The sequence below is a fragment of the Homo sapiens genome, chromosome 1, assembly GCF_000001405.40.
Source record: "Homo sapiens chromosome 1, GRCh38.p14 Primary Assembly".
NCBI lineage: Eukaryota > Metazoa > Chordata > Mammalia > Primates > Hominidae > Homo > Homo sapiens.
Window position 1 is genome coordinate 239,630,786 of NC_000001.11, and position 24,827 is coordinate 239,655,612.

Below are 24,827 nucleotides of genomic sequence, written 5' to 3' on the forward strand. Positions count from 1 at the left end.
CTTACACCCTCAACCTCAGTTTCCCAGCCCAGGGTATAAAGTGCATGCATTTCATGGAATGATAGCTCCAGCCCTTCCTTCCATAAGACACTTCTCAGATAGGGAGGGCCGGGGGAGGGCAGCAGTGGGGAAGGAGATCTTGGGAGAGGAGGAGTCTGAGAGGCCTTGCTTGGGTCAGTTGCCCTCCCTTGTTGAAAGTGGGAGAGGATCCCGTGATTGACAGTTCCAACATGGCAAGCAATAGCAGAGGGAGAGGGAGGCGCTAAAGAGAGGAAGAAGGGATATCAGGGCAGCAGAGGACCAATGCTTGTGAGCATAAATGTGCTTCTCAAACTGAAGAAGGAGCAATTACTCTTGTCCCCCATATCCTTTGCATATTAATACTTTTAAAAGATATATAAAATACAAATCTATTTTAAATTGTTAATTACATATCCAATTGCTGTAAAACTCTCTCGAAGTTTGCTCTCCTTCTCTGTGCTGATCTTGTCACAGATGACACTCGCAGAGGTTTCACTAGGCTCCTCTCTCACTTGCTGAGAAAAATCCCTCCACATGCACCTCTAGGATCCTTCTACTTCTTACCTTACAGTCTGTTCTCAGTCCTCTTTTCATTTGGTGTCACCGTCACCATGCTGTGCAAACTTCAAGGTCCTCCTTTAAAAAATTCAATCACACCTTATCAGGAGATCTCATCCTCAAGTTCTTCCAAAGCATTTCCCATTCCTTCATGACCCTCTGAACTCAGCCACATCCTTCACAATGCCACAGTTCCCCTGTTCTTCTGCAAAGCCTGGCACTTCTTTTTCTTTCTCTAGGTTAACCTTCTAATGGAGGTACTTTCCTAAGATTCTGGCCTAGCTGTCAGGCTCAGTACACTTCAAAAAGGTGAACTTCAGTGTCTGAAGTGGAGTTAGGGGATTTTCATGAAGATTGCATTTTCTTCCTGTATGAGAATGGGCTAATTGTAAGATCACTGTATGTGTATATTTCGAATAGTGTCTGGGAGAAGGTAGCAAATGGAATACTTGTTGAACATAGACCATACTAGCCAATTTGCTAAGAGAAGAAAGGCAATCATCACTTACATGCAAAATGAAGAGATGAGCAACTTCTTTATTTTTATTCTTCTCACTCTATCTCCCTTCCTTGCAACTGGAGCTTAGGCAGGCAGGAGGTGAGGAGCTGTAGAATGAGGAAGTCAATAGATACATTTCTTTTCCAGTGACGGGTACCTTAACTTCTCTGACCCTCTCCGTCCTCTTCAGGTACATGAGGTTAGGCACCATGATCTGGGAAGTCACTTCCAACTCAAAAATTCTGTAATTTTTTTTCCATTGCCTCTAATCGTGTTGTGTAACCTATTGATGTTCTTTTTCCCAGGGTCTTGGTTATTTGTTAATCCCATATTTTTGTTTGTTTGTTTGTTCTTTTCTAGCACTTGTGTTCTGATTAGTGGCCAAATAAATGACAGTCAGAACTTCAGCTAAGGTACAATAAGGTAAGATCCTTTTTCTAGTTGAGCTATTTCCTTGAAAAGGGGGATTGATGGCCCAATCTGTGAGAACAGATTAACAAGGAATAAGAATGTATAAGTTGGTGTTTTCAACATGATGTACAATTGTTACCATTAGTCATGCTCAATTTTTTGTGTCTTAATAAAGCTAAGTGTGTTCATTTTCTCATCAGTTTAAAAATAGAAATAAAGGGATGTTGATTGAGATTTGAAATAAGTTAACTTTATTTCAAATGCACATTTGTATTTAACTGTAGCAATGTGGAATTTTTTGAAATATTGCAAAATGTTTGAATTATTAGTACATATATAGGATCTTATAGCTTGTCTAATTCTTAGAAGCTTAAGAATTATCCCTGGATTTAGATTGCCCTTCTTCAGAATGCTGTACAAAATATGATTGTGAACATAAACAGAAACATTGTGGAAAAGCTCAATCTTTCTTAGATGTTATCCTTAATAATGTTTTATCTATCCAGCAAACACTGCTAACATCTTACCCTAAATCCAATCCCCCTGTATTAGTCCCTTCTCATACAGCTATAAAAACACTACCTGAGACTGGGTAATTTATAAACAAAAGAAGTTTAATTGTCTCACAGTTCTACATGGCCGGGAAGGCCTCAGGAAACTTATAATCATGACAGAAGGCGAAGGGGAAGCAAGCCATGTCTTTTTTGTTTGTTTTTGAGACGGAGTCTCGCTCTGTCACCCAGGCTGGAGTGCAGTGGCGCCATCTCAGCTCACTGCAAGCTCCGCCTCCCGGGTTCACACCATTCTCCTGCCTCAGCCTCCCGAGTAGCTGGGACTACAAGCGCTGCCACCATGCCTGGCTAATTTTTTGTATTTTCAGTAGAGATGGGGTTTCACCGTGTTAGCCAGGATGGTCTCGATCTCCTGACCTCATGATCTGCCCACCTCAGCCTCCCAGAGTGCTGGGATTACAGGCGTGAGCCACCGCACCCAGCTAGGCATGACTTACATAGCGGCAGGAGAGCGGGGAGAGGGTGCGGAGGAAACTGCCACTTTTAAAACCATCAGATCTCAAGAGAACTCCCTCACTATCATGATAACAGCATGGGGGAAACCACCTTCATGATCCAATCACCTCCCACAAGGCCCCTCCCTCAACAGATAGAGATTACGGTTCGAGATGATATTTGGGTGGGGACACAGAGCCAAACCTTATCACTACCCTCTTCGTTCCTAACAAAATCTTGCTGTTGTAAGGACAGCAAAGTGCCCAGCTAAAAAATATTCTCATCTTCCCAGACTCTTTTTTCTGTGGCCATGTGACCCAGCTACAGCCAATGAGCTCTCAGTCATGGTCCCTGGGGAGAGACTTTCAAGAGGAGATTCCTCTTAGAATGTTTTTCTTTGTTCTTATCCCATCATTCTATCAGGAAGTCACACCCCTCCCCCACCCACCCCTTCTTGCAATCACAGCAACAAAAGCCGAACTGGGGATACTGGAGCAGGAAGATAAAATGAGCTTGAGCTCTGGCAAGCCCATCATCAGATTTCTTGTTGCATGAGACACATACAGTCCCTAATTTAGAAGAGCTTATTAGGTTTTCTGACACTCAGAGCCAAATGTAGACTTAGCTGATTCAGTAACATTCATATCTGGATATCATGCTGGACACATTACCCTATCTTACTTAAACACTGCAGCAGTGCTATTAAGTCGAGTATTTTTATTTCCATTTTATGTATGAGGAAACAGGCTCTGAGATGTTAAGAACTTTGTCCTGTGAACTTTGTCCTATGGTAGTAAGTGGCACAGGTGAGATTCGAACTTGGACCTGTCAGATGCTGATCCCTGTACACAGCTGCCTCGATGCTGGTCCTGACAGCCTGGTTCCAGGAGCCTGTGCTATTGCTGATTACATTTTATAGTTAGTCAGGGGACATTGTCAGCTCAGTAACCCTTTGAATACAATACTCTTCAATAGCACAGACTTTCTATTATATTTTGCATTTGTAAAACTAAGTGAACTGAGTCTATTCCTGTATAACAGAAACGAGAGAGAGAGAGAAAGGAATAAAGATAGAGAGCAAAAGCAAGAACAAACGAAAGAAAGAAAGAAAGAAAGAAAGAAAGGAAAGAAAGAAGAAAAGAAAAGAGAAAAAAAAGAACAGAAAAGAAAAAGAGAAAAACAGATCTGATTTGGGAAAATCAGTTTATATTGGAATTGCCTATGAAAGCTGGTAAAGGAAATATTAATTCTGAGCATCTTCTTTTCTTTTTTTTTTTGAAATAAAAGTTTAGAACTAATGGTCAAAATATGGTCACCAAAACTCAGCTTTTACCCAACAATCATAGAATTAAGTATTCTCCGCCTAACAATCTTCATTAATTCACTCTTGTTGACTTGGTTCAGAAAAAAAAATACAGGTTAAAAACTAAGTCATATAATGAAATTTCTTTCCGAAGAAAGTTATACAAGGCATTGAGTAAGGCACGGAGCTGACTTGGGGGATGGGGGAGCTGGATAATGGAAAAATCTTTTGGCTGGAAAATAAGAGACTGGAAATGCAGGGGATAGCCTAGCAATTTTTGGCATTATAAAAAGCCATTTCACCTCTCTGGACCTTTGCTGCTTATTTGTAAATTGAAGGTATAAGTTATTCTGATATGCTGTTAGTACAAAATAATAGCTTACCTCCTTGGGTCTCCATTGCTAATGCAGGGAAATACTCTGATATCTATTCAAAGCTACAGTTTTTATTTCTGGCCATTGAAACTAAGAGTGACCAGTTATTTTCCTTTTCCTTCTATTTCTTCCAAATACATCCTGAATCCCTTGTCTCTTTTGTTATGACTCTACTCCAAGTCATCATCTTGTCTTGCCTGGACAATGGCATTAGCTTCATGTTAGTCAACATGGCTTTCATTCTTACCATACAAAATTACATTCTGTCACAGCCAGCGTCTGCTTTGGGAAACCTCCATCAGATCTTGTTATTCTCCTATTTGAGACCTTCTCAAAATCCTTCAACTCCCTCCCCTACATTTAGAATCAAATCCAAATGCATTAACATGACTTATAAATCTGATATGATCTGGTTTCTACTTGTACTTTTCTCTCTTGCTTCCTACACTCCAAGCCTCCCTGTCTTTATTTATTGAATATTTCTCTTTGTTCTTTGCCCTCAGGGGCCTGGCACTGATCCCCTGGCTCTTGTTTACTACTTGACCCTTCCAGTCAAATCTCAACTGCCAAGACCTCTCCTAACCGCTCTCTAAATAACCACTGTCCTGGACACCCAGGTTTAATTCCCTTTAAAGACTGGAAGTTTTATTTCTTAAGGCATACGAAAATAACCACTTATGGACAAAATACTTACATATGTAACTTAAGGGACTTAGGTAAGACATGACGAATTCTGTCGCACCTGTTTATATTTTGTCGTTTATCTCCCATTATAATATCATCTAAGCCCCATGAGGGCAGGGCCTTGTCTGTTTCCTTCACTGCCAAAACCACCATACTTATAATGATGCCTGCCCCCTGCAAGAGGCTTAGTAAATGTTTGTTGAGTAAATGAATATAGAGTCAGAAAATGCCCTACGTTAAATATCTTAAAAGAAATTAAGCAATTCTTATAGATGTCCCCAACGTGTCTTTTGCTTAGATGGGAAGAAAAAGAAAAAGAAAACAGAGAAAAAGATGAAGAAACAATCTAGGAAGAAGAACAGAAGGACAGACAGTGGTATAAATAGAAAATAGTGGTAAATCCTTGGGTGGGACTGTTTCAGGGATCTTTACTCAGTGGCATTTCTGATCTATAATATTGGGCGACAGGGCTCCGTTCTTTGGATCTTACATAGATTTATTGGCTAAACCTGGCGCATGCACAATGAGAAATGTTTGTTGAATGAAGGCCCGAAAGAATGAAATAATAAATTATTGAACTGCAAAGAGCAAAATTTTCCCTGTTTTTATGGGCATGATAATATTCCCTTGATGCCAGTATTTAATCCATGTTAGTAACAAACATTCCAGATAACAATGACTGTGAAAAATATCCCGTGAAACAAAAGTCAGTCACTGTGCCAGGCATTTCCCTTAGCACATTTCAGAGTTTATTCTGTCTTCAAGGGAATTGTCACAGTGACTATCCAGAATGGCACAGGGTGTTAATGTATTAAAAATACTGACAGGAAAATGAAAACTAGAAAAACGTCTTATCTGTCAATTAAATGATATAGCCTCGTGGTTACATTACAGCAATTCTGGGGCTTTATCTTTGCTGCCGATTGAGATTTGACAGCTGTTTGTAAAATATTTACATTCTGATTTCTGTCACATTGACAGCACTTTTGGGTCTTTGGAAGATGATAATTATATGTTTGGAAAATGTTAAAAAAATGGAAGCTGATCTGTTGAGGAGAAAAATCTGTTTTTAAAATTGTGCAAAGGAAGGGCACCCACTTTATTAATGAATGTGCGTCTAATAAAAGTCAGAAGCAGTAGATTCTTGTGATCCAAAAACATGCTACATGTAATGTGCAGTAGTATCCCTCCCAACCCTGCCTGCTTTGGGTACCTCAGCTTTTCTTCATCAGCTGTGTGTGTGGCTGGCCACATACTTGTTATGCTTTTCCACTTTATTATGCACATAAAATGGCAATATTTGGATGGCACATTGGATAGGATTTTGGAGTATCTATATGAAATTTTGTGAAAGAAGTTCAGTTTGTATCCTCGGTATTAAAGGAAGAGAAAATAAAAAGTATTGGGAGGAATAGTAAGTATTGAATTTATATAGAACTTCCAAATAAAGTCTTTTCAAAGATTTTAATGAGAAGTATACATTTATATATACATTTATATTATCAGGTATACAGAAATGATGACCTGTAATTCTTGATCAATGGTCTTATCAAAGTCTTTTGTTTGGTTTTGTAAATTTATTTTCTGCTCTAACATGTTACTACATCACTAAATATTCTTTTTAAACACCATTATGTTTATATGCGTAGAAAATGTGCATAATATTCTATAGCATACATAAATATTCCTGATCATTTCCAGTATTTCACGTTAAAAATTTTAATATTGATGAAGATCATTGTTAATAACTTTCTACACATATCACTGAATATCTTCCTTAGAATATAGTCCCAGAAATGAAATTCCTTGATCAAATGGTACACAAATTTTTAAGGCTTTTGATATTTACTGTATGGTTTTCCTTTCATCAAAGTCTTTTTTTTTTTTTTTTTTTTTTTTGGTGAAATGCTCTTTTATTACTTGCTAACAGCATTTGTTATTACCAAGAGTAGTGAGTCTGAAAGCCTTTGCTCTTCACTCGTCCCAAGGTCAACCCCACACAACACCGTGGGGTTGCCAAATCCCATCATAGCAGCACCTGACTGCTCCTGTGAGCTTCACATTTTTCTTTTTTTTTTTTTTGGGGAATTTGTATTTCTTTGTGAATTTTCTTTTTTTTAATTTAATTTTATTATTATTATACTTTAAGTTTTAGGGTACATGTGCACAATGTGGTTAGTTACATATGTATACATGTGCCATGCTGGTGTGCTGCACCCATTAACTCGTCATTTAGCATTAGGTATATCTCCTATGCTATCCCTCCCCCCTCCCCCCACCCCACAACAGTCCCCAGAGTGTGATGTTCCCCTTCCTGTGTCCACGTGTTCTCATTGTTCAATTCCCACCTATGAGTGAGAACGTGCAGTGTTTGGTTTTTTGTTCTTGCAATAGTTTACTGAGAATGATGATTTCCAATTTCATCCATGTCCCTACAAAGGACATGAACTCACCATTTTTTATGGCTGCATAGTATTCCATGGTGTATATGTGCCACATTTTCTTAATCCAGTCTATCATTGTTGGACATTTGGGTTGGTTCCAAGTCTTTGCTATTGTGAATAGTGCCGCAATAAACATACGTGTGCATGTGTCTTTATAGCAGCATGATTTATAGTCCTTTGGGTATATACCCAGTAATGGGATGGCTGGGTCAAATGGTATTTCTAGTTCTACATCCCTGAGGAATCGCCACACTGACTTCCACAATGGTTGAACTAGTTTACAGTCCCACCAGCAGTGTAAAATTGTTCCTGTTTCTCCACATCCTCTCCAGCACCTGTTGTTTCCTGACTTTTTAATGATTGCCATTCTAACTGGTGTGAGATGTTATCTCATTGTGGTTTTGATTTGCATTTCTCTGATGGCCAGTGATGATGAGCATTTTTTCATGTGTTTTTTGGCTGCATGAATGTCTTCTTTTGAGAAGTGTCTGTTCATGTCCTTCGCCCACTTTTTGATGGGGTTGTTTGGTTTTTTCTTGTAAATTGGTTTGAGTTCACTGTAGATTCTGGATATTAGCCCTTTGTCAGATGAGTAGGTTGCGAAAATTTTCTCCCATTTTGTAGGTTGCTGGTTCACTCTGATGGTAGTTTCTTTTGCTGTGCAGAAGCTCGTTAGTTTAATTAGATCCCATTTGTCAATTTTGGCTTTTGTTGCCATTGCTTTTGGTGTTTTAGACATGAAGTCCTTGCCCATGTCTATGTCCTGAATGGTAATGCCTAGGTTTTCTTCTAGGGTTTTTATGGTTTTAGGTCTAACATTTAAGTCTTTAATCCATCTTGAATTAATTTTCATATAAGGTATAAGGAAGGGATCCAGTTTCAGCTTTCTACATATGGCTAGCCAGTTTTCCCAGCACCATTTATTAAATAGGGAATCCTTTCCCCATTGCTTGTTTTTCTCAGGTTTGTCAAAGATCAGATAGTTGTAGATATGCGGCATTATTTCTGAGGGCTCTGTTCTGTTCCATTGATCTATATCTCTGTTTTGGTACCAGTACCATGCTGTTTTGGTTACTGTAGCCTTGTAGTATAGTTTGAAGTCAGGTAGTATGATGCCTCCAGCTTTGTTCTTTTGGCTTAGGATTGACTTGGTGATGTAGGCTCTATTTTGGTTCCATATGAACTTTAAAGTAGTTTTTTCCAATTCTGTGAAGAAAGTCATTGGTAGCTTGATAGGGATGGCATTGAATCTATAAATTACCTTGGACAGTATGGCCATTTTTACGATATTGATTCTTCCTACCCATGAGCATGGAATGTTCTTCCATTTCTTTGTATCCTCTTTTATTTCATTGAGCAGTGGTTTGTAGTTCTTCTTGAAGAGGTCCTTCACATCCCTAGTAAGTTGGATTCTTGGTATTTTATTGTCTTTGAATCAATTGTGAATAGGAGTTCACTCATGATTTGGCTCTCTGTTTGTCTGTTATTGGTGTATAAGAATGCTTGTGATTTTTGTACATTGATTTTGTATCCTGAGACTTTGCTGAAGTTGCTTATCAGCTTAAGGAGATTTTGGGCTGAGACAATGGGGTTTTCTAGATATACAATCATGTTGTCTGCAAACAGGGACAATTTGACTTCCTCTTCTCCTAATTGAATACCCTTTATTTCCTTCTCCTGCCTAATTGCCCTGGCCAGAACTTCCAACACTATGTTGAATAGGAGTGGTGAGAGAGGGCATCCCTGTCTTGTGCCAGTTTTCAAAGGGAATGCTTCCAGTTTTTGCCCATTCAGTATGATATTGGCTGTGGGTTTGTCATAGATAGCTCTTATTATTTTGAGATATGTCCCATCAATACCTAATTTATTGAGATTTTGTAGCATGAAGGGTTGTTGAATTTTGTCAAAGGCCTTTTCTGCATCTATTGAGATAATCATGTGGTTTTTGTCTTTGGTTTCTGTTTATATGCTGGATTACCTTGATTGATTTGCATATATTGAACCAGCCTTGCATCCCAGGGATGAAGCCCACTTGATCATGGTGGATAAGCTTTTTGATGTGCTGCTGGATTCGGTTTGCCAGTATTTTATTGAGGATTTTTGCATCAATGTTCATCAAGGATATTGGTCTAAAATTCTCTTTTTTGGTAGTGTCTCTGCCCGGCTTTGGTATCAGGATGATGCTGGCATCATAAAATGAGTTAGGGAGGATTCTCTCTTTTTCTATTGATTGGAATAGTTTCAGAAGGAATGGTACCAGTTCCTCCTTTTACCTCTAGTAGAATTCGGCTGTGAATCCATCTGGTCCTGGACTCTTTTTGGTTGGTAAGCTATTGATTATTGCCACAATTTCAGATCCTGTTATTGGTCTATTCAGAGATTCAACTTCTTCGTGGTTTAGTCTTGGGAGGGTGTATGTGTCGAGGAATTTATCCATTTCTTGTAGATTTTCTAGTTTATTTGTGTAGAGGTGTTTGTAGTATTCTCTGATGGTAGTTTGTATTTCTGTGGGATCAGTGGTGATATCCCCTTTATCATTTTTTATTGTGTCTATTTGATCCTTCTCTCTTTTTTTCTTTATTAGTCTTGCTAGCAGTCTATCAATTTTGTTGATCCTTTCAAAAAACCAGCTCCTGGATTCATTAATTTTTTGAAGGGCTTTTTGTGTCTCTATTTCCTTCAGTTCTGCTCTGATTTTAGTTATTTCTTGCCTTCTGCTAGCTTTTGAATGTGTTTGCTCTTGCTTTTCTAGTTCTTTTAATTGTGATGTTAGGGTGTCAATTTTGGATCTTTCCTGCTTTCTCTTGTGGGCATTTAGTGCTATAAATTTCCCTCTACACACTGCTTTGAATGTGTCCCAGAGATTCTGGTATGTTGTGTCTTTGTTCTCATTGGTTTCAAAGAACATCTTTATTTCTGCCTTCATTTCGTTATGTACCCAGTAGTCATTCAGGAGCAGGTTGTTCAGTTTAATGTAGGTGAGCGGTTTTGCGTGAGTTTCTTAATCCTGACTTCTAGTTTGATTGCACTGTGGTCTGAGAGACAGTTTGTTATAATTTCTGTTCTTTTACATTTGCTGAGGAGTGCTTTACTTCCAACTATGTGGTCAATTTTGGAATCGGTGTGGTGCGGTGCTGAAAAAAATGTATATTCTGTTGATTTGGGGTGGAGAGTTCTGTAGATGTCTATTAGGTCCGCTTGGTGCAGAGCTGAGTTCAATTCCTGGATATCCTTGTTAACTTTCTGTCTCATTGATCTGTCTAATGTTGACAGTGGGGTGTTAAAGTCTCCCATTATTATTGTGTGGGAGTCTAAGTCTCTTTGTAGGTCACTCAGGACTTGCTTTATGAATCTGGGTGCTCCTGTATTGGGTGCATATATATTTAGGATAGTTAGCTCTTCTTGTTGAATTGATCCCTTTACCATTATGTAATGGCCTTCTTTGTCTCTTTTGATCTTTGTTGGTTTAAAGTCTGTTTTATCAGAGGCTAGGATTGCAACCCCTGCCTTTTTTTGTTTTCCATTTGCTTGGTAGATCTTCCTCCATCCTTTTATTTTGAGCCTATGTGTGTCTCTGCACGTGAGATGGGTTTCCTGAATACAGCACACTGCTGGGTCTTGACTCTTTATCCAATTTGCCAGTCTGTGTCTTTTAATTGGAGCATTTAGTCCATTTATATTTAAAGTTAATATTGTTATGTGTGAATTTGATCCTGTCATTATGATGTTAGCTGGTTATTTTGCTCGTTAGTTGATGCAGTTTCTTCCTAGTCTTGATGGTCTTTACAATTTGGCGTGATTTTGCAGTGGCTGGTACCGGTTGTTCCTTTCCGTGTTTAGTGCTTCCTTCAGGAGCTCTTTTAGGGCAGGCCTGGTGGTGACAAAATCTCTCAGCATTTGCTTGTCTGTAAAGAATTTTATTTCTCCTCCACTTATGAAGCTTAGTTTGGCTGGATATGAAATTCTGGGTTGAAAATTCTTTTCTTTAAGAATGTTGAATATTGGCCCCCACTCTCTTCTGGCTTGTAGAGTTTCTGCCGAGAGACCCTCTGTTAGTCTGATGGGCTTCCCTTTGTGGGTAACCCGACCTTTCTCTCTGGCTGCCCTTAACATTTTTTCCTTCATTTCAACTTTGGTGAATCTGACAATTATGTGTCTTGGAGTTGCTCTTCTCGAGGAGTATCTTTGTGGCATTCTCTGTATTTCCTGAATTTGAATGTTGGCCTGCCTTGCTAGATTGGGGAAGTTCTCCTGGATAATATCCGGCAGAGTGTTTTCCAACTTGGTTCCATTCTCCCCGTCACTTTCAGGTACACCAATCAGATGTAGATTTGGTCTTTTGACATAGTCCCATATTTCTTGGAGGCTTTGTTCGTTTCTTTATATTCTTTTTTATCTAAACTTCCCTTCTCGCTTCATTTCATTCATTTCATCTTCCATCACTGATACCTCTTCTTCCAGTTGATCGCATCGGCTCCTGAGGCTTCTGCATTCTTCACATAGTTCTCGAGCCTTGGCTTTCAGCTCCATCAGCTCCTTTAAGCACTTCTCTGTATTGGTTATTCTAGTTATACATTCTTCTAAATTTTTTTCAAAGTTTTTAACTTCTTTGCCTTTGGTTTGAATTTCCTCCTGTAGCTCGGAGTACTTTGATCATCTGAAGCCTTCTTCTCTCAACTCGTCAAAGTCATTCTCCATCCAGCTTTGTTCCATTGCTGGTGAGGAGCTGCGTTCCTTTGGAGGAGGAGAGGCGCTCTGTTTTTAGAGTTTCCAGTTTTTCTGCTCTGTTTTTTCCCCATCTTTGTGGTTTTATCTACTTTTGGTCTTTGATGATGGTGATGTACAGATGGGTTTTTGGTGTGGATGTCCTTTCTGTTTTTTAGTTTTCTTTCTAACAGACAGGACCCTCAGCTGCAGGTCTGTTGGAGTTTGCTAGAGGTCCACTCCAGACCCTGTTTGCCTGGGTATCAGCAGCAGTGTCTGCAGAACAGTGGATGTTCGTGATCCGCGAATCCTGCTGTCTGATCGTTCCTCTGGAAGTTTTGTCTCAGAGGAGTACCTGGCAGTGTGAGGTGTCAGTCTGCCCCTACTGGGGGGTGCCTCCCAGTTAGGCTGCTTGGGGGTCAAGGGTCAGGGACCCACTGGAGGAGGCAGTCTGCCCATTCTCAGATCTCCAGCTGCATGCTGGGAGAACCACTGCTCTCTTCAAAGCTGTCAGACAGGGACATTTAAGTCTGCAGTGGTTACTGCTATCTTTTTATTTGTCTGTGCCCTGCCCCCAGAGGTGGAGCCTACAGAGGCAGGCAGGCCTCCTTGAGCTGTGGTGGGCTCCACCCAGTTCGAGCTTCCCAGCTGCTTTGTTTACCTAAGCAAGCCTGGGCAATGGTGGGCGCCCCTCCCCCAGCCGCGCTGCCGCCTTGCAGTTTGATCTCAGACTGCTGTGCTAGTAATCAGCGAGACTCCGTGGGCGTAGGACCCTCCGAGCCAGGTGCGGGATATAATCTCCTGCTGTGCCCTTTTTTAAACCCGTCGGAAAAGTGCAGTATTCGGGTGGGAGTGACCCGATTTTCCAGATGCCGTCTGTCACCCCTTTCTTTGACTAGAAAAGGGAACTCCCTGACTCCTTGCGCTTCCCAAGTGAGGCAATGCCTCAACCTGCTTTGGCTCATGCACGGTGCGCTGCACCCACTGTCCTGCGCCCACTGTCTGGCACTCCCTAGTGAGATGAACCCGGGACCTCAGGTGGAAATGCAGAAATCACCTGTCTTCTGCGTCGCTCACACTGGGAGCTGTAGACTGGAGCTGTTCCTATTCGGCCATCTTCTCATCAAAGTGTTGATAGTCACTATCTGTGTGATGCTTTATAAGAACAAGTAGATGATAGAAAATGTAAAAACCTATTTTATAGCCATTCAGAAGTTTCTTGTAATTGAAATTATGTTTAAAGATTCTAACAGCTATTACTTTCTTTCATTGACAAATGTGATGTTGAAACTTCTTGGGGTAAGGCAAATGATTTTGGAACCCATCCTAACCTTTTAGTATCAAGTATCTGAAAAATTCTTAGAAGGCATAAATGTTTTTACAGCCCTCACCCTGCACATAGCTTGAAATCACTAAAAGAGCATATCAGCTGCAAATGGACAGAAGCAGATTCAACCCTTGATGCTTTGTAAGAACAAGTCGATAATAGACTAAGTGACTAGGGACAAAAGTGCAATTGAAGGCCCTAGGTCTACACCCATTTCCCACCCACCCGTCTTCCCACCCCTGGCTCTGTCCTGTTCCCCCAGGGTCCTCAGCCTCAGAGCCTACATGTGGACTCTTAGCCTGAAAGTCCAAACAACTTCTCCCCACGTCGTCATGCCTATCCCTTGATCACAAATGTATTTGAGTTCCAGGTGCACAATGGGAATGCATCAGTGAAAGATCATTCTATGCCTTAAATGGGGGTGGACTGTGAGCTTTAGGGCAGAGAATTCCAGGGACTTGGTTATGTGAAACTTGGTCTAGAAGCAACCAAAATTCTTATCAGCCTGTCCCTTGGAGAGGGTTGTGATGAGAGAGATGAGAAGAAAGCCGGAGTGGACTCTTTGACACTGTGCTTTTCAAACACTCATGTGCATACAATCACCATTAAAATACAGATGGTGATTCAGAAGGGCTGAGCTTTTGTATTTCTGACAAGCTTTCAGATGAAGCTGCACGTTGATGAAGCTGACTGCACTTGAGTAACAAGACTGTGATACACAGGGCCCAGCAGGGTCCCATGGCCTGGGGACTGGACAGAAGTATTGGCCTGACGTGAAGACAGATAAGTGGGCCTACTTGAGACAGCTTTCTTCAGCAGGAATTCCCAGCCTGGACTTCCCACCTCTCACTCCTCTCTATTGAACACCATGCTCCCTGGTGTTCAACCTGTACTGCTACTTCCTCCATCAGCTCACAGCCCCTTGTCTGTGATGGGCAGAGCAGTCTATGGCTGGGCACTGAACTTGATATCTGGATGGCAGAGCCGCCCTCAGCCGTGCTTAGAGTATCATGGAAGAGCAGCAGGAGCCAAGTGTCCCCATCGTATTTGCAGCTGGACTAGACCTTAGGCACTGCACCAGATGCGCTCAGCTATGGCTGCCTCTGAGGACTAGGGCCCCTGCCCAAGCCCTGCCAGACACTGTAGTCTGAGGGTACTGGCTTCTCTCTTGAACACCAGGGCACTGTGGGACAATATGTAGGAAGCCTTATAGTTAGGTTCGAAATGGCACATTCAATGGAGATAGTAAATGCAATAGTCCTCTAGTGATATTGTAGTACATTATATGATCACAGATTAAAAACCAATATTCACCTTTTCAGATGGCCCAAATGAAAACGATGCATTTTAAAGAAGCCATGCTTAAATTATCAAAGGAACATGTGGACTAAAAGAAAAGAAAATCCAAATCAGGAACAAAAAATGAAACAAAATAATAGATGTTACTTTTAAATAAAAGAAACATTTGAGAAACAAATACCTATGTGATGTCATACACAAAACAAACACAACGCAGAAAAGCTAGGATAGGTTAAGGTATCAAAATGTATTATAGAATAGTGTTTATATCAAAAACAAAAATAGTATCAAAATATGGACATCAAAAATAAACTAAATCTAATGGAATGACTACAAAAAAATGTAACAAAAGAACGGCCATAGAGAACCAGGAGTAATCAGGTGAAATAATAGAGGTGGTTACTTTCATAAAAAATACAGCTTCAAAGTTTGTAGGTGGTACTTTTTAACTAAAAGAGAGTTTTTAACATAGTTCCATAACATGGAGAAATTAAGTTACATTCAAGAGAAATGAGAGAGTTCTTGGGCTTACAGTGAAAAAGTTTTGGAAACAGACTTGAAAATTAAAGCATAACATTTGTACTAAACAACATGCACAATACATGCCAAGTGTAAAGAGAAATAAATTCAAAGCACATAGAAGAATGCCTTGAAAAAAAGAACTTACAATTTGATCAAAAGAAAAAGCAATGCATGTGCAATACTCACAATCTAGAGTCTCACAGAAAAAATAAAATTCAATTTACACAGTTTCTTAGTATTCTGAGACTGCAAACCCTATCCAATTTTGACATGTCCTTTCAGCAGAATAGCTATTCAATTCCTGTTATATGTTCTCGAGACAGACCATTTAGCTGATCTGTTCTGATGCTTTAATACACAGCCTATGTGTATGAAAGAAGAGCTTGCAATCCAGTTTTAATGACAAGCTATACACGTATTTTTTAAAATGCTATGGCTGTTAAGTATGATGCTGGATATAAGTTATGTAACCAAGTTGTCATGGTCTATATTGTTAGCACGTTTGGATGCTTTTCACAGTAATAGGCACATATACGCACTGTTGGAAAATGTTCATGAAAGTGACATGTTAATTGACATGCTAAGGTAGAATAAAAGGTAATATGTGGCTTCAGGGACATAGAGATACCCTTCTATAAGAAGGTTATATAATATGAGACTTGAGAAAGGGCAGGATTTATATAGGCAGAAAGAGGGCACTGCAAGGGATCATGGGTAGGAATTTGAATGCAAGTGATAGCTTCAGAGTTGTGACGTGTGTGGATGTGGGTGTGTGGGTTATGAGGATGAGGAAAGGCAGACAAGGCCAGAATGAGAATGACTTTGTATAACTTAAGGAACTTTGATTTTACCCTAAAAGTAGCAGAATAACACTGAAAAAGCTTGAGTAGAAGAATAACATTAAGGAAAATTAACTGGGCAACAATATGTGGAAATTGACTGAAGGTGGGGAAATGCATAGATAGGTCGCTTTTCTGGGGTAAGAAGAGATGAAGGACTAAACAAGGAAAACTACGAATGGGAGTGAGGAAAGGATAGACTCAGAAGACACCACAAAGAAATGTGGATCTTATCCCTTTGTACATCAGTTTTATATTTGCCCTTTCCTGTGTCTTCACACTTTTTAATTCTTTTGATTATTTGTCTTTCATATTTAAATGTTTGATTTATAAAGAAAACACAAACACCTCCTCTTAGGCTCTCCATTGATTTCAGTCTCACCTACCTTCTCTTCCTCTCACCATCCGTGACCCCATTTATCCAATTCAATTCCTTCATCTTCTCTTCACCTCCTCAACCCACTGCAGTTTCACCACATCACTCCAACTGTGGTTGCCAGAATGAGTAAAGACCTTCTAGTTGATAAGCCCTCAAGAATCTTTGGTCTTTAACTTTCTTACTCCTCTGTAAATTTTGTTACTATTGACCTTTTGAAATTCTCTATTTTCGTGGATTCGAAGGAACCTCTCTTTTCTTGAATCTCCTCTTTCATCTCATCAGCCTCTTTCTCTTTTTTCCTCTCTCTTCTTCTTTTCTTCTTTTTCTTGTTTTGCTTTTCTTCTTTTATCTACTGCAAAGTGATGATTTCCTTCCTTGCCCACCTCCCAAAGTTTGGTTCAGAATTTTTTTCCTTTTTACTTAACTTGACCTTCAGTCCAATGACTCAAATCTGTGCCTCCGCTTAGACATTTTCCCCTAGTCCACATCTATATCTCCAGCTGGACAGCTCCACATGGGTTTTCATCCTATACTTCCAAAACCAGAATAGCAAAACTGAGGTCCTCTGCTTCTCCCCACTTTTCCATATCTCTACCCTAGTCTCCTGTATGTCATACAGGTGCAATTCAAAAATGAGAAACATCCCTTTATCATTCTGAAATGAAAATGTAATCATAATTCAAATTAAGCCACTTCCTAGCTGGCTCAAAATTGCTTGGCTTCTATGTCTCTCAGTTTTCTTATCTACAAAATGGAAAAAAAATAATAGCACCTACCTCACAGTAGTATTGTGGAAATAGTAACTGGCACAATGTAAGCCCTAAGTAAATATTATCTATTTCACTGTTTGAAATAATCAGAGTCCCCATTGACTTAAAAAGAGAAAATGAAACTAGTTTCCTCAGTATGTTATTTAATTTTTGCTTAATTCTCAAGTTGCATTTCTCATTATTTCCTAACTTCTACTCTACCCTCTACCCTGAAAGAAAGATTCTCTAGGGGGCCGCTCTGCCCTATCCACCCCCAAGCTCATGAGTGTCTCTTCCTGTTGTTAATCATGACTTACCTTTAATAGTTTTCACTGATGCTTCAGAGTGTGTGTGGGATGTCTCTTCTTGCTCCCTTTTCCCCAAGTCTAAGTTTATTTTTCTCTCTGTGCTCCTGGAGAGCCACTGACTTGAGGTTTTTCACCCTACATTGCCATTGTGCACACATCTTTATCTGCCTCTCAGATAAAGGCAGCTCCTTCATGGTAGAGGATGCACTGTTGATCTGTAGGTGGTTTTGAGAGGAAGTATAACAAGAGAGTGTGGACAACACAAGAGAATAAGCAGTTGGATGCACTAATTGTTCATCTAGAAATGGCTGTCAGTGGAGGTGAGCCAGCCCCACCCCTCTATGTGTGTCTGGGTAGTGGATGAGGGGGAATTCTGGAGAGGAGCGAGCAAAAGGGAATATGGTGATTTCAAGGATAAGCTAAGCTTTGTTTCAAACAATGATGTGGGGAAGGAATGGAAGCCAATTGATAGATTGTTCACAGTGGATGAGCATGGAAAGAACTGAGGCAGTGGAAGGGACTGTCACAGGGTCACCAGTAAGTCAGAAGAGCTCATGCTGACTTGATGATAAATTTTTATATGTATAAAATCTTCTGGAAGCAGATTCAAACAGATTGAGATGTTCGGTCTCAAGAATGAAGAATGGACATGACTGACACATGAATCAGTGATGTGTAGGAATTATAGATCGTAACATTAGTAGCATTGACATATATCCATAGTCTTATTGAGTCACAGTATTTTTGGGTTATGGTATACATACACACCCATCTATATGTGTGTATATACAGTGTCACATATAATAGTGTATTATATATACACATTGTATATATTTTGATTATAAGAGTAATACAGTGTTTATTATAGAAATGTTTGCAGCCATAGGTGCTATTGTCTGAATGTTTCTGTTCCCCTAAATTCATATGTTAAAATCCTAATCCCCAAGGTGGTAGTGTGAGAAGATAGGGCCTTTGGGAGGTTACAAGGGATTAGTGTCCCCATTAAAGAGGCCCAAGAGAGCTTATTTGCCCGTTTCATCATGTGAGTACTCAGTGAAAGGCACCATCTATGAAGCAGAAAGCGAGTCCTCACCAGACACCAAATATGCTTGTGCCTTGATCGTGGACTTCCCAGTCTCCAGAATCATGAGCGATACATTTCTGTTGTTTATAAGCTATTTAGTTTATGGTATTTTAACTACCCAGATGGACCTAAGGCAATAGAAAAGACGTAAGTCTGATTTGAAATGAGCTAAAAAGCAGAATTGGAATTCAGGAATTCGAGGCAGTTGATACAGATGACCTCATAAGTAAGCTCAGTTTTAAAAGGGAGCAGAAACATTGTATGATAGTGGCTGTGGAACAATGGAAGAGGCAGGACCTGGGACCATGTGAGGGCTTTTGTAAGCTAGGAGATATCAAAGCCTGTTTGTGAGATGGTGGAGGTAACCCAGGAAGGAAGGATAAACTGAGGATGGGTGAGAAAGAGGACTACTGCAGGAGTAGAGATCTTGAGTGCGAGAGAAGGATAGTGGGGTGGGTTTTCCCTGGGTAGGTGCAGGGACAGAGGCAGAGTTCATGGGCACAGATGCTGGTGGGTGAAGAGATAAGGATAATCAGAAAAGGAGGCAGTCCTCAGATTATTATTTCCTTTTCCTAACTACAAGGTACTAGGCAGCAGGGCACTGTGTTCCATCCAATTAAAATAAGTTAAATATTTAAAGCCATCCTTTGGATCCTTTGGATTTAGAAGGATGGTTCTAAAGAAAGAAGCCATGTGCACAGTTACTGAGCTCAGGGTCTTTGATCTCAGACAGCCCTCGGTGTCCTGGTCCTGCTACCTTCCTTCCAGCTGTGGGACTCTCATCAGGTGAACTGGGAGGTGTCCTGTGCAAGAGCCCAGGCTCTGGAGTTGGCTCTCAGCTCTGTCAGTAACTGATGTGTAAGTTTGGGTTAAGCACTAAGCCCTTCCTGCCTCCACACTTCTTCTGTAACATGGAGATGATTAAATGATTCTTCTTATAGGCAGGGTGAACAATGAATGACGATACTGTAAATTTCATAGTATAATACCTGCTACATATATGTCATGGCCTGCCAAGGTTAGCAGTTAGTATTTCACTGCTCTAAGCCTTAGTTTCTCTCTGCAAAATGGAGACAGTGATACACTTTGTTAGACATGATTATTGTGAGAATAAAAATAAATTGCATGTCAAGCTCCTAACACACAGTAAACAGAGTAAAGGGGAAAAAAGAAGTGTGAGTGAGCATGAGGAATGGCTTCACTCTGCAGCCACAGAAATTGGTAACTTTCTAAGGAAGATTGGGAGAGAGAAAGTGATGTGTGATTTGGAGACAAAGTCTTAAACTTAATTTGTAAGACAAGGAAGCCAATTAAAGCCCAACAATGTGGCCCAGGACAAGCATTTCATTTGAGATGATAAATTTAATAAAAATGGATTCATTTTCACTTCACTAAAAGTGAGGGAAGATTTTGTGTGTGCATGGGAACATACAAGAGCAAATATCTGCAGAGGCTAACTAAACGTAATGAGATTTTGTATTGAGAAGCAACATTAATTACTGGATTATATCATAGCATCTGAATTAGTGCACAAAGGTTAAAACTAAGTAAGCTAAATGTATTCAATTATATAAAATACGGTGTTTTGTAGTATCACACATTAATATATGTAAATATGTGTAAATTTATGCATAAAATATGTGCACATTAATATATGTAAATATATGTAAATTTGTAAGTATACATATATGCATAATATCATGTGTTTTGATTTCTGAATGGAATCATAAGGCTCATGACAGCAAACCTAGCTCAGTGCCTGGAACATAGTAGATGTTGAACAATAATGGATGAATGAATGAATCAAACCCATATTTGCAGCTTGTGTAACTTACGTTGGAGATCCCTATCTTAGAAAAAAATAGCTAACATATTCTATTAGTTTCTTTATAAACAAATTTAATACAAATTGATGCTTAATGATGGGAAGCTAGATATAATTAGAGAATATCTTATATGAGCTGATGTGTCAAATCAAAGAATTAAGGCAAGGCATTGTGAAAGGCAAGTAATGTAGGTGGAGATAGGATTGTGTCTTAGAATAAAGGAGGGTTTCTTCTAAGACACGTCTTTAAATATTACCCAAAACAATGTTGTTTCTGCTTCAAAATGTTTGTGCTTCTTGTTAGAGAACAAGGAAGGCATGATTTAAAGCTGGAGGCAATAAAGCCTCGCACAGAGAATGCTGGTGGGGTGTTCAGAGAAGATGGAATAGTAGACTTGGCTAAGACAGTGTGCAGGTTCCTCTGTCCTCACTTCTTCCCCTTCCCCAGGCCAGCCCCTAGAGTTGAACTCCAGTGAGTTGCATGCCTACCTCCAGCACTTTCTGAGGGGAGTGTAGAGAAGTTGGTACTCAAAGTGTGGTCTAAGGATCAGCAGCAGCAGCATCACCTAGAAGCTTGTTGGAAATGCAGAATCTTAGACCCTACCCTTGTAGTAAGGGTTAAAAAGAAAAAGAGACAAGTTTTCCTCTGCTTAGCAGCTCACTTCAAGGACAGTTAAAAGATAATGCTGTCCAAAAAGCCAAGGCCAAGGGAATGGGCTCCAGACAGCACCCCCCCACACCCCTGCAAAGCAAGGTTGAGGGGAAAAAAAAGAGAGAAAGACAAATTCCTTCACTGATACTCCTTTCCCTGGCCTCTTAAGTATGGCTGTGTTTTACAAATGTCTGTATTTCGCCAGTTTTTGTTTTTTTTTTTTTTTTTGATGCAGCTACAAGGCCACCAGCTATGCAAGGCCACAAGTTATGCACTATATGATTAACTGCCTTTGTTTTGCTTTTGTAAGCCTGCTTATAGAAGCCCCACTCTGTCTTTGTTCAAGGCTCAGCTTTTTGAATGTGAATCCACTGAGCCGGTGTATACCTTAAAATAAATATCCTCCTGTATTCACCCATACTGAGCTCTCTGGTCCTCTGTGTCCTGCAACTCCCTAGCCCTACTGAGTCTGAATCTGCAACTAATAAGTTCTTTCAGTGACTCATGGGCACATTAAAATTTGAGAAGCACTGTCATTGAGGTTAGAAATGTGGGCCTTAAAGCACATAGATCTTGGTTCAAATCCCCATTCCACCTTGAGCAAGCTAATTTTCTAATCTTGTTTCCTCACCTGTGTGATATAATCATAGGTACCTCATAAATACTACTATGAGAGATAAATAAGATAGTTACATATAAAGTGTTTATGTAGTGCCTACCTGTTAGTAACTGTTCAATAATTTTACCTGTTTTTTACTATTTTTTTCTCTGCTGAGCAAGAGCAGAAGAAAGTAGTGAGGAAGAAGCGTTGTTGGTGTGATCTTCCTTTTTTCTCTATTTTCTCAACCATATGCTCACTATGACAGGAAAAAAAAAAGATTTAACTGCAGGCACGGACTTGCAAATAGGTGTAATAATCTTTCTGAGTTTCCTCCACTGCTAAATGTTACTTCTACTTATATTACTATGGATAAGTCCCTTAACCTCTTTGAGCCTTATTTTCTTCCTTCATAGTGTGGGGTTGCAACATCAGCCTATCTCATAAAGTCGTGAAAACCAAACAAAGTGGTCCATAAGACAGTATTATGTTCATTGTTAAGAACTATTTTGTAGAAGTTAAGATGGCAGATCTCACAAGTAGAATCATCTCAATATAAGAGACTGATAACATGAAGTGTTGATATATATCATTTATAATAATATATGGTCTAAATGACTGATAGGGCCATCCCCTGGCCCTTGGACAGTGTTAATGAAAAACCAGAGCCAGACCATAGTTAATGTGGAAAAATCAGGTTTTATTGAGGAACTATTACAATAGGGAGAAAGAGACCTCAGTATAGAACTGGGATCAATTCCAAACACAACATGGACAAGTGGGGATGTATAGCCAAGGAGCCGCCTGGAGTCAGTAGATGGAAAATTCCTAAGAGGAGGCATCACGAGTAAGGGGGATTCCTAGGAAACAGATCTTCTTTCGGGATTCTAGCTGCAGGCAGTCCAGGGTGAGCAGATGTCATCTGGGAGATGATGAGGAGTGAGGAGTTTGATCAGACACAGAAGGGGATAAGATACTGAGGGTTGGGAATTCTGAATAAACCGACTTAGCAGGAATCTTTTTACAACCGAGTGATGCAGAGACGGAAACGGAAGTACCAAGGTAGGGGCCTGGTGGGAAGTAGCTTCAGAAGGGCCTGACTGAAGTTTGGTCAAGGATGGAATCTTTGTCAAAGAGCCAAGCTGGTTGCAGATGGGAAGGAGGGGAAGGTGGTCGTCTCTTCAGATACAGAAGCCTGTGCATGTAGATACCAGAAAGTCTGTTTTTCAAAAACGGTCTGAACTTACAAGGGCTCGTTTAGCATTCTGCCGTTTACCTTATCCAGTAGCAGAAAATAAGACACATCCACTTAAAGAGCAAGATAAAAATCAGACAAGTAGGCATAGAGGAGAATTTCTATGGAGGATCAGAGAAAGGAGTGATTGCCTCTGGTCATGTGTCCGCAGGGCTTCAGAGTCAAGACTTTTATGGTTGGCCCTGGGGGATAAACAGAATCTTGGGAGAGAGTTGCAATCTTTTTGGAGGAAATAGCAAGAGAGGAGAAAAACAAAACAAACAAACAAACAGAAAAGAACAGAGGCAGCAAAGCTTGAAGCACATGAAGAAAGGGTAAAGAAGCTTCTTTTTTAATTTTTTAAAATTTTTACAATGCAAAGTCTTGCTCTGTTGCCTAGGCTGGAGTGCAGTGGCACGATCACAGCTCTCTGCAGCCTCAACTTCCCAGGCTCGAACAGTCCTCCCATGTCAGCCTCTTGAGTAGCTGGGACCACAGATGTGAGCCACCACGCCTGGCTAATTTTTGGAAAGAATACCTTTTGGAGAGATGGGGGTCTCACTACGTTACTCAGGATGGTCTCAAATTCCTGGGTTTAAGCAATCCTCTTGCTTAGGCCTCGTAAATCCTGGGATTACAGGTGCGAGCCACTGTACCCAGCCAAGAAGCTTCTTTGGAAACTCAGTTGCACAGGATTGGAGGGAAGAATAGGTTATAAAGATAAGGAGGGATTCAATTTTGAGGGACCTTGACGGTTCAATTCTTACTTTTCCTATGATGAATAGTCACATACTGTTTTGTTTTGCTTTTGAGACGGAGTCTCACTCTGTCACCCAGGCTAGAGTGCAGCAGTGCGATCTCAGCTCACTGCAAACTTCGCCTCCTGGGTTCAAGTGATTCTTCTGCCTCAGCCTCCCGAGTAGCTGGGACTACAGGCACACACCACCCATCCTGGCTAATTTTTGTATTTTTAGTGGAGACGGGGTTTTACCATGTGGGCCGGGAAAGTCTCGAAATCCTGACCTCAGGTAATCCGCCCTCCTTGGCCTCCCAAAGTGCTGGGATTACAGGCATGAGCCACCACGTCCAGCCCACATACTGTTTCTGAATTGGGAATGGACATTATCAGGGCTGTAATATTGGAACATATATCTGGCGTCCATGAATGAGTTGGAACAAAGTGAGAATAAGTGGAGAGACTAAATCAGAGGAGATATTTCAGTGGCTTAGGAAAAATAATAAGACCCCAAGCTGGATTTGCAATACTGGAAATGTAAAGGAAAGGACAACAATTTGGGACAAGTCCCTTTCTAATAGATTCACACTGACTTTTTCATGTCAACAATAAGCCACAATATTATAAGAAAATAAAAATAATTCATCTGCTACTGGACGTTGTTCTTACCAAGTTCCATCTTTAGATATGTTTTTTATTAAAGTGGTGAGAAGTACAAATATACTAGTTACTTGTTCTATTTTTATGTTCTCGTGCAGCGAAAGAGGAAAAGGAAGAGTTCTATTCATGTGTCATACTCTGAGACTTGTGGTAGTTTGCTAATTATAAGTTCTATTGTCTTGGTCTTAAAAGGAATTCAAATGCTGAACCAAGTATAGTAAGGTCTCCCAGACCCCAGTGATTACACAGCTGCAAAATTTGTAGCTGAAATGTCATCCTGTCTTAGTATTTTTGCAGGCCAAAAGGCCAAGCAAAGTCAAGTCAAACTGTTTCTCATTTCTTACAGAAATTTGCAAGACCCAACAATAGAACTCAAGGCTGCATCAAAAACTTTAGTCTCTTCTTTGACCTCCTGGACTGTTGGCAGAGTCAGATTTTTGCATCTGTCGAATGGGAGATAATCTTACTTTCATCTATCCCTGCCTTTCTAACACAATCTATTTGAGGTCCCTAGTTTCAAGATATTTTCATAGAGCCCCAAATTAAACATATTTTGGATAACCTTATGCACATGGCTCTGGGCCAGCTCTTTCTCTTAGTATAATTTTTT

The 24,827-nt window shown here is 40.2% G+C and overlaps 1 protein-coding gene and 1 long non-coding RNA gene across 34 annotated transcripts in view; one reads left to right on the forward strand and one right to left on the reverse strand.

Moving 5' to 3' along the window:
* LOC105373225 (uncharacterized) overlaps positions 1-2,786 on the reverse strand; it is a 42,892-nt gene extending 40,106 nt beyond the window's left edge. For both annotated transcript variants that reach the window (XR_007066968.1, XR_007066969.1), the window contains exons 1-3: positions 2,701-2,786; positions 1,089-1,185; positions 586-657 (exon numbers count right to left, since the gene is read on the reverse strand). This is a non-coding gene — a long non-coding RNA (uncharacterized LOC105373225). The remainder of the gene's footprint in view (positions 1-585; positions 658-1,088; positions 1,186-2,700) is intronic.
* CHRM3 (cholinergic receptor muscarinic 3) overlaps positions 1-24,827 on the forward strand; it is a 528,883-nt gene that overhangs the window by 244,218 nt on the left and 259,838 nt on the right. For 21 of the 32 annotated variants that reach the window (NR_164748.1, XM_047443115.1, NM_001375982.1 and 18 more), the window contains one exon: positions 1,439-1,501. The exons of 9 other annotated variants lie outside the window; for them this stretch is intronic. The gene's annotated coding sequence lies outside the window, so the exon portion shown is untranslated. Of the gene's footprint in view, positions 1-1,438; positions 1,502-1,533; positions 5,234-24,827 lie in introns of those variants that run through there. 2 more of the 32 variants (XM_047443239.1, XM_017000160.3) reach the window with 1 other exon arrangement.